We start from the raw sequence: 10,677 nt of genomic DNA, 5'->3' as shown, positions 1-10,677 counted from the left end.
CTTAATGCTGACATCTTATATAACCACAGCACAAGATCAAAACCAGGGAATTGACATTGATATTACAATGCTACTAGACTCTAGACCTTATTCAGTTCTCATTATTGTTGAGATGGTAATCATTCCTCTCTCTCTCTCCGTTTCTATGCAATTTCATCCCGTGTATAAATTTTGATAACCACCACCACAGTCAAGACACAGAACTGTTCATCATCACAAATGCACACCCTTGCACTACCTCTTCGTATTTGGTATTTGCAACCTCCCCCTCCCTGTCCCTGTCTTCTAGCAACTACTAATCTGTTCTCCATCTCTATCATTTTGTCATTATGAGAATGTTGTACAAATGGAATCACACACTGCATCATCTTTCAAGGTTGACTTTTCACTCAGTGTTTGTTCTCTTGAGATCCATGTAACAATAGTTTGTTCCTTTTTACTGCTGAGTAGTGTTCCATTATATGCACGTACCAGAGTTTCTGCAAATATGGTGAATAAAAATTCTATCGATAGTCACGTATAGGTTTTTGCACAAACATCAGTTTTCATTTCTCTGAATAAATGCCCAAGAGTGTGAGGGCTGGGTATTATGATGCGTGCTTAGCTTTGTGAGACACTGACAATTTTACATTCTCACTAGCAATGGATAAGAGAACCACTTTCTGTGGATTCTTGTTAGCATTTTTTTTTAACCATAGTTGTTTTCATAGGTGTGTAGTGATATTTCCTTCTGCTTTTCATTTGCATTTCCCTAATGGTCAATGATGAGGAACATGTTTCTGCGTGCTTTTGTTTTTTTTTTTTTTGAGACAGAGTTTCGCTCTGTCACCCAGGCTGGAGTGCAGTGGTGCCATCTGCAAGCTCCGCCTCCCGGGTTCACGCCATTCTCCTGCCTCAGCCTCCTGAGTAGCTAGGACTACAGGCGCCCACCACCACACCCAGCTAATTTTTTGTATTTTTAGTAGAGATGGGGTTTCACCGTGTTAGCCAGGATGGTCTTGATCTCCTGACCTCGTGATCCGCCTGCCTCGGCCTCCCAAAGTGCTGGGATTACAGGCTTGAGCCACTGCGCCCAGCCTCTGCATGCTTTTTGGCTATCTCCGTCTTCTCCTTGGTGAAATATCTGCTCATGTCTTTGCCCATTTTGTAACTGAGTTGTTTGTTTTTTTACTGTTGAGTTTTTTATGATGGTAGTAAAAAACATAAGAGCCAATAAACTTTGCTTTTTTCTTTTGGTGTTTTTCACAGTAATAGAAGTGGATACACACCCAAAAGTCTGTGTGACATGCCCGTGTCAGGGATTAGCTAGGGTAACAACCTCCGATTCTCAGAGTTTAGACACAACAAATATTTATTTCTTGCTCACAGAAATCCAGAAGTAGGTTGGGTGTCTCGTCTCCTCACAGCTTTTGCCAAGCAGTGACTGTGGAATCTGGGCCTGTTCCATGCTGAGGCTCCACCACCTGGATATCCAGCCACCCGGCTTCCAAAGTGGTAGTGGAAGAGGAAGAGAGCTGGGAAGTGCATGGAAGTTTGTTTTTATGGCCTATTCTAGAGGTGGTGTACATTCTTTTCACAACATCTTATTGGCCAGGATTTAGTCACATGGTCCCCACACAACTTTAAGGAGGCTGGGAATGTTGCCCTCCTGGGTATCCAGGAAGAGGGGTTAGATGGGGTGAACATTACCTGTATTAGTCCGTTCTCATGCTGCTATAAAGAACAGGCTGAGACTGAGTAATTTATAAAAGAAAGAGGTTTAATTGACTCACAGTTCTGCATGTCTGGGGAGCCCTCAGGAAACTTACATTCATGTTGGAAGGACAAGTAAACATGTCCTTCTTCACATGGTGGCAGGAGAGAGAAGTGCCAGCAGGAGAAATGCCAGATGCTTATAAAACCATCAGATTTCATGAGAACTCATTCACTATCATGAGAACAGCATGGGGAAAGCTGCCCCCATGATTCAATTACCCCACTCCATGTCCCTCCCACAACATGTGGGTATTATGGGAACTACAATTCAAGATGAAATGTGAGTAGGGATGCAGCCAAACATATCATTCTGCCCATGGACCCTCCCAAATCTCATGTCCTCACATTTTAAAACACAACCATGCCTTCCCAACAGTCCCTCAAAGTCTTAACTTATTCCAGCATTAACCCAAAAGTCCAAGTCCAAAGTTTCATCTGAGACAAGGCAAGTGCCTTCCACCTATTAGCCTGTAAAATCAAAAGCAAGTTAGTTTCTTCCTAGACACAATGCAGGTACAGGCATTGGGTAAATACACCCATCCCAAATGGGAGAAACTGGGTAAAACAAAGGGCCCTATGCATGTCCAAAATCCAACAAGGCAGTAACTAAATCTTAAAGCTCCAAAATAATTTCCTTTGACTCCATGTCTCACATCCAGGTCACAATGTTGCAAGACGTTAAGTTCCCATGGCCTTGGGCAGCTCCACCCCTGTGGTTTTGCAGCGTATAGCCCCTCTCCTGGCTGCTTTCACAAGCCAGTGTTGAGTGTCTGTGGCTTTTCCAGGTGCACAGTGCAAGCTGTTGGTGGATCTACCATTCTGGGATCTGGAGGACAATGATTCTCTTCTCACAGCTCAACTAGGCAGTGCCCCAGTGGGGACTCTGTGTGGGGGCTCTGACCCCACATTTCCCTTCCACACTACCTTAGGAGAGGTTCTTCACAAGGGCTCCACCCTGGCAACAAACTTCTGCATTGACATCCAGGCATTTCCATACATCCTCTGAAATCTAGGTGGAGGTTCCCAAACCTAAATTCTTGACTTCTGTGCACCCAGAAGCCCAATCCTATAAGTAAGCCACCAAGATTTGGGGCTTTCACCCTCTGAAGCAATGGCCTGAGCTTCACATGTTGGCCCCATTAACCACAGCTGGGACACAGGGTACCAGGTCCTGAGACTGCACAAAGCAGTAAGCCCTTGGGCACAACCCACAAAACCATTTTTTCCTCCTAGGCCTCCTGGCCTGTGATGGAAAGGTCTGCCGTGAAGTCCTCTGACGTGCCCTGGAGACATTTTCCCCAGTGTCTTGGCGATTAACATTTGACTCCTCATTACTTATGCAAATTTCTGCCACTGGCTTGAATTTCTCCTCAGAAAATGGGTTTTTCTTTTCTATCACATTGTCAGACTGCAAATTTTCCAAACTTTTATGCTCTGCTTCCCTTTTAAACATAAGTTCCAATTCCAAACCATCTCTTTGTGAATGTGTAAAACTGAACACTTTTAAGAGAACCCAGATCACCTCTTGAATGCTTTGCTGCTTAGAAATTTCTTCCGCCAGATACTCTAAATCATCTCTCTCAAGTTCAAAGTTCCACAGATCTCTAGGGCAGGGGCAAAACACCACGATTCTCTTTGCTAAAAGCATAGTAAGAGTTACCTTTATTCCAGTTCCCAACAAATTTCTAATCTCCACCTGAGACCACTTCAGCCTGGACTTCATTTTCTATACCACTATCAGCATTTTGGTCAAAGCCACTCAACAAGTCTCTAGGAAGTTCCACACTTTCCCATATCTTTCTGTCTTCTTCTGAGCCCTCCAAACTGTTCCAACCTCTGCCTGTTACCCAGTTCCAAAGTCAATGCCACATTTTCGGGTATCTTTTCAGCTGCACCCCACTCCCAGTACCAATTTACTGTATTAGTTTGTTCTCACGCTGCTATAAAGAACTGCCCAAGACTGGGTAATTTATAAAGGAAAGAGGTTTAATTGACTCACAGTTCTGCATGGCTGGGGAGGCCTCTGGAAACTTACAATCATGGTATAAAGGGAGGCAAACAGGTCCTTCTTTACATGGTGGCAGGAGAGAGAAGTGCCAGCAGGGGAAATATCAGATGCTTATAAAATCATCAGATATCATGAGAACTCACTCACTATCATGAGAACGGCACAGGGAAAACCACCCCCATGATTCAATTACCTGTGACCATGTCCCTCCCACAACACGTGGGGATTATGGGAACTATAATTCAAGATGAGATTTGGGTGGGGACACAGCCAAACCATATCAGGCCCCATTTCTGTCACTACAGCAGCATAAGATGGAGCTGCATGGAGCATGCCTTGTTTGTTCAGATGATGCTTGACTCACAAGCCTGGGAGCCTGAGGTACCAAGCCTGAGGCTGAGGGGGGGTCACCCTATTGCATCTGTGGCAGGCCACACCAGTCACCTTCATTTGGACCAAATAAGGAGTTGGAGCAGATGGTAATTGGTGTCTCCCTCCATTCCCTTCCCTTCCCTTCTTCCTTCCTTCTGTCATTCCCTCTCTCTGTCTTTCTCTTTCTTTTTTTCTTTATCCCTGCACCCCAATAAAGAACCTTAAAAATGAAAGTGTCTGTCCTAAGAGCACATAATGCAACTGGCCCACATGTACATGGTCAGAAGGATTGGGGGACTGACCTTCACCCCATTTGATTCTCTAGCTCAGTTTGCAAACTGGTAGTGTGTGAGTCACATTCAGTCAACAAACATGCTTTATTTGGCCTATATGATTTTTTTTTTTTTTTTTTTTTGAGACAGAGTCTCGCTCTGTCCCCCAGGCTGGAGTGCAGTGGTGTGATCTCGGCTCACTGCAAGCTCTGCTTCCTGGTTCACGCCATTCTCCTGCCTCAGCCTCTTGAGTAGCCGGGACTACAGGTGCCCGCCACCATGCCTGGCTAAGTTTTTAGTAGAAACGGGGTTTCACTGTGTTAACCAGGATGGTCTCAATCTCCTGACCTTGTGATCTGCCTGCCTCGGCCTCCCAAAGTGCTGGGATTACAGGCATGAGCCACCACTCCTGGCCTTTTTTTTTTTTTTGAGACAGAGTCTCACTGTGTTGCCCAGGCTGGAGTGCAGTGGCACCATCTTGGCTCACTGCAAGCTCCACCTCCCAGGTTCAAGCCATTCTCCTGCCTTAGCCTCCCGAGTTGCTGGGACTACAGGCACCCGCCACCATGCCTGGCTAGGTTTTTTTTTTTTTTTTTTGTATTTTTAGTACAGACAGGGTTTCACCATGTTAGCCAGGATGGTATCTATCTCCTGACCTTGTGATCCGCCCACCTCGGCCTCCCAAAGTGCTGGGATTACAGGCGTAAGCCACTGCACCTGGCCTATGATGTTTTTAAAAATCAAGTATATTAGGATATAGTTTACATGTAATAAAATGCATTGATTTTTAAGTGCACAGTTCAGTGAGTTATTATATATGTATACACACACACACACACACACACACACACACACATATATATATATATATATAATTAGTCTGTTTTCATGCTGCTGATAAAGACATACCTGAGACTGGGAAGTAAAAGTTGTTTAATTGGACTTATAGTTCTACATGGCTGGGGAGGCCTCAGAATCATGGGGGGAGGTGAAAGGCACTTCTTACATCGTGGTGGCAAGAGAAAATGAGGAAGAAGCAAAAAGCAGAAACCCTTGATAAACCCAACAGATCTCATGAGGCTTATTCACTATCACAAGAATAGCACAGGAAAGACCAGCCCCCATGATTCACATACCTCCCCCTGGGTCCCTCGTACAATACGTGGGAATTCTGGGAGATACAATTCAAGTTGAAATTTGGGTGGGGACATAGCCAAACCATATATATATATATATATATATATATATATATATATATATATATATATATATATATATACACTATAAACATACACACTTATGTAACCACCACCTCAATCAAGATAAAGAAACCTCCCTCATCCAGGAAGCTACCTGTGCCACTTCCCAGTCTATTCTCCTCCCTGGCAGCAGAACTGATTCCTGGGACATCGACCACTCCAGCTCAGTGCCCCCTGACTCAGAACGTCATGGAAATGGACCCTAGAGTACTCTTTGTGCCTGGCTTCTGTCACTCAACATAATGTCTGTCATCTGGGTTGCATGCCACATTTTTTTATTGCTTATAATTATTCCTCTGTATAAAAATGCCACAATTTATCTGTTTAAATGATGACAGACATTTGTATTATTTCCAGTTTTTGGCTATTATGAATAAAGCTCATATGAAAATTCTTGTGCATGTATCTTTATGAACACATGCTTTCATTTTCCTTGGTTAAATACCTAGGGGTAGATTGCTGGCTCATAGAGGGGGTGTGTTCAATTTCTTAAGAAATTGTCAAACTGTTTCTTGAAATGTTTGCACCATTTTCCACTCCACGCATTGTATGACAGTATCAATTGCTGTATATCCTCTCCAATATTTGGTATTTTCAGTCTTTTAAATTTTAGCCATCCTGGTCGGTATGTGGTGATAATTCTTCATTGTTTTCACTTGAATTTCACTGATGAACATGTTGAACATCTTTTCATGTCCTTATTGGCCATTCATGTATCTTTTTTCATGGAATGTCGGTTCAAATATTTTGCCCATTAAAAAAAATTGAGTTGTTTGTCTTCTTACTGTTGAGTTGTGAAAGTTTTGTGTGTATTCTGGATGCAAGACCTTTCTCAGATATATGTATCGCAACTATCTTTCCTTTCATATTATTTTATTAATGATGACTTTTGGAAATCCTAAGTTTTTAATTTTTAGAAATCAATATCAGTTTAAAAAATTTTATGGTGGCAGAGTACTTTTTTGTATCTTAAGAAATCTTTAGTTATCCCAAAGCCATGAAGATTTCCACCTAAGTTTTCTTCTAGAGGTTTTGTAGTTTCACTTTTTTAATTGACAGAATTCAAAACAATAATTCAGTAAATTTTTCTCTAATGAGGAAAATGGAATTTTGGAGGAGGGATAACATTTTCACTTAACTGGGATGAAAGTTATGTTTCCCATCATCAAAATCTGTTGCAAGTGCTGCCAGTAATGATATTTTATGCATTTCATCTTTGAAAATGTCTTTCCACTGAGACAGGTACTGCTAAATCCTAATACCATCTATAAGCACAATAATTTTTCCCATTACTTTTTTTTTACTGAGATATAATTTACATAACATAAAGCTGATCATTTTAAAGTATACAAGTCAGTAGTTTTTCCTATATTCATTATGTTGTACAACCATCACCACTATCTAATTATGGAACACTTCCATCACCCCGAAAAGAAACCTTGTGCTTATTGGCAGTCATTCCCAATGTCCCTCTCTCCCACTCCTGGCAACCACTCATCTACTTTCTGTCCCTATGGAGCTGTCTATTCTGTAAATTTTATATAAATGGAATCATTCTATATGTGGCCTTTTATGTCTGGCTTCTTAACACATCTTCACAGTTTATCGTTCCAACATATAAAAGTTCTTCATTCATTTTTATGACAAAATAACATTCCATTGTGTGGATGTACCATGTATCATCATCAGTTGATGGCCATTTGGATTGTTTCTATTTTTTGACTATTATAAATAATGCTTCTCTGAAGTTTGTGTACAAGTTTTTGTTTGACATGTTTTCAGTTTTCTTTGGCATATTCCTAGGAATGAAATTGTTGGGTCATATGGCAACTCTATGTTTAACTGACAAGCCACCATATTGTTTTCCACAGTGGCTGCACCATTTTAAATTCCCACCAGCAAGGTCATGAGCGTCCCAATTTCTTCACGTCCTCACCAACTCTTTCTGTCTTTCCTTCCTTCCTTCACCCCTTCCTTCCTCCCTCCCTTTCTTTCTCTTGCTCTCTCTCTCTTAATTGTAGCCATTTTAGTGGCTGGGAAGTGGTATCTTGTGATTTTGATTTGCATTTTGCTAATAACTAATGACGTTGAACATCTTTTAATGTTCTTATTCATCATTTGTATATCTTTTTATAGCTTTAGTTTTGATGTTTATATTATTACAGTGTTTACATTTACATCTATTATTATTATTATTATTATTTTTGAAGCAGAGTCTTGCTCTGTCACCCAGGCTGGAGTGCAGTGGCGCTATCTCAGCTTGCTGCAAGCTCTGCCTCCTGGGTTCACGCCATTCTCCTGCCTCAGCTTCCCCAGTAGCTGGGACTACAGGTGCCCGCCACCACGCCCGGCTAAATTTTTGTATTTTTTTTTTTTTAGTAGAGACAGAGTTTCACCATGTTAGCCAGGATGATCTCGATCTCCTGACCTAATGATCCACCCACCTCGGCCTCCCAAAGTGCTAAGATTACAGGCATGAACCACCACGCCTGGCCTACATCTATTATTAATTTAATTAATTTTTGTGTGAGGTAAGAATTGCGTTTTACTTTTTCTCTCTACAGATGATCTAACATCATTTGTTTAAAAGATTACTCTTTTTCTGTGGTAGGAAAAATTCTGAGATGTCTCCTAGGATAGGCAGAGTAATGGCCCCACAAAGATGTCTACTTCTTAGTCCCTGGAACCTTGAATATCATGGTACATGTTAGAAACAAGTCAAGGTAGCAGACAGAACTAAGGTTGCTGCTCAGCTTGATACAGGGCAGATGAGCCCCCAGATTGGGGCTTAGCCTGGGAAGGTTCTTGGCTTCATCCAGGAAAGAATTCAAGGGTGAGCTGGTGCTGTTATACAGCAACTTTTATTGAAGTGGTAGTGTACAGCAGCAGCAGGGGCTTTGTTCCTTCAGAGTAGGGTTAACCCACAAGCAGTTTGCCCAGAGTAGCAGCTCAGGGGCAGTTCTGCAGTCATATTTATACCCAGTTTTAATTATACACAAATTAAGAGTTGGGTTATTTAGAAATTTCTTTAAAAAAAAGATGTGGTAACTTCCGGGAGTTGCCATGGTACTGGTAAACTGTCATGGTGCTGGTGGGAATGTTATGGAGAGGTGCTTTTGGGGCCTCTTCCCTGTTTCAGCCAGTCTTCTATCTGGTCTGGAGTCAGGTCCTGACTCCTACCTCAAGCTGACCTTAAGATAGGGATATTATCCTAGACTATCTGGGTGGGTTCAGTGTAATCACAAGGATCCTTAAACGTGGAAGAGAGAGACAAAAGAGAAGGTCAGATGATGTAATGTGCTAGGAATTTGGCCTACTGTTGCTGATTTTGAAAATGGAGGAAGGGGCCATGAGTCAAGGAAATCAGGCCGGCTCTAGAAGCTGGAATGGGAATTAAAGTCTTTTATCAGTTGACTTTGGGTTAATCAGAAGTAAGATTATCCTTTCTTGGCCTGACCTTAAAAGAAGTCAAAGAAATTCAAAGCGTGAGAGCTTGTCGTGGAGAAGGTCACATGGCAGGGAACAGGGAGCGGTCTCCAGGAACTGAGGGCTTCAATCCTATGACCAAAAGGAGCTTGCTTGGAAGAGGAATCCAAGTTCCATATGAGAGCACATGCAGGCTGACAGCTTGGTTTTAGCCTTTTGAGACCCTAAGCCGAGAACTCACTTACACAATGCAAAGACTTCTGACATATAGAAAAATGTGAAATATATAATTATATGTGAAATAATAAATCAGTGTTGTTTTATTCTGATAAATTTGTGCTAATGTGTTATGCAGCAATAGAGAAAGAATGCATTTTCCCCGTTAAATTGCCTTAGCACTTTTGTTGAAAATCAATTAAGGGTCTATGTTTGGGTCTATTTCTGGACTCTATTTTTTCCTGTTGATCTATGTGTCTATCTTTTTGCTACAATGATTCTAATTTGGATTACTATAGTGAGTCTTGAAAATTAGATACTGGGAGTCTTCCAACTTTGTTATTCTTTTTCAAGTTTGTTTTGCTATTTTAGGTCCTGTGCATTTGCATATCAATTTCAGAATTTTAGCTTTCTCTCTCGAAGCCAGCCACGATGTAGAAAGTCTGATGACTCTGAGACCACCATGCTATGAGGAAGCTCCCATGGGGAGATCATGTGGAGGAGCACTGAGGTACCAGACATGTGACTAATGCCTTCTTGGACTTTCCAGTTTGGCCCAGCTGCCAGTTGAAAGCAACAGAGTGAGTCATCCCAGACAACACCATTTAAAAAAGAACCACCCAGCTGAGGTCAGTTAACTTAGCAACAACAAAATAATTGTTAAGTTACTAAGCTTTGGGACTGGTTATGAAGCAATAGGATACTGAAAAGTAGGGCTATTCGTTTTTTCTATTTTTTCTTGAGTCACTTTTGGTAAGTTGTGTTTTTCAGGGAATTCGTCCATTTCATCTAAATTGTTGAGTTTATTGCCATAAAGTTGTTTATAATATTTAGTAGTTTTTCTTTTGGTATCTGTAGGATCTGTAGTGATAGCTTATCTTCCATTTCAGATATTTTGAGTATACATATATCAAAACATCATGTTGTACAACATAAATACAAAGAGTTTTTGTCATACAGAAAGTTATTTTGTAATTTGTGTTCTTTTTCTTGATCAGTCTTACTGGGATTTTTCAATTTGATTAATTTTTCAAAGAGGTATCTTTTGGCTTTGTTATTTTTATCTCTTATTGGTTTGTTTTATATTTCATTGATTTGGGCTCCTTATTATTTCTTTCCTTCTATTTACTGTGGGTTTAATATGTTCTTTCTTTTTAGATTGCTAACATGTACACTTAAACCATTAATTGTTAATTTTTACTTTTTCCCTATTATGAACATTTAGAGTTATATGTTTCTTTCTAGAAACTGATTTAACTGTATCCCATAAAATTTGATTTTTTTGGTTTTCATTATCATTCAGTTAAAATTTTTTCTAATTTCTCTGCTGATTTCTTGCCATATAAATTATTTAGAAGTATATTGTTTA

General features: G+C 40.8%; 1 annotated feature.

Moving 5' to 3' along the window:
* Positions 8,980 to 10,179: an enhancer, noted in NCBI's record as "MED14-independent group 3 enhancer chr5:178819998-178821197 (GRCh37/hg19 assembly coordinates)". NCBI's record gives its function as "activates an origin of replication core promoter dependent on BRD2, BRD4, P300/CBP and CDK7 cofactors, and independent of MED14, by STARR-seq in HCT116 cells {active_cell/tissue: HCT116}" and the evidence as "EXISTENCE:reporter gene assay evidence [ECO:0000049][PMID:35650434]".

This window comes from Homo sapiens, chromosome 5 (assembly GCF_000001405.40).
Source record: "Homo sapiens chromosome 5, GRCh38.p14 Primary Assembly".
Lineage (NCBI taxonomy): Eukaryota > Metazoa > Chordata > Mammalia > Primates > Hominidae > Homo > Homo sapiens.
This window is presented reverse-complemented; position numbering and strand designations above follow the sequence as displayed.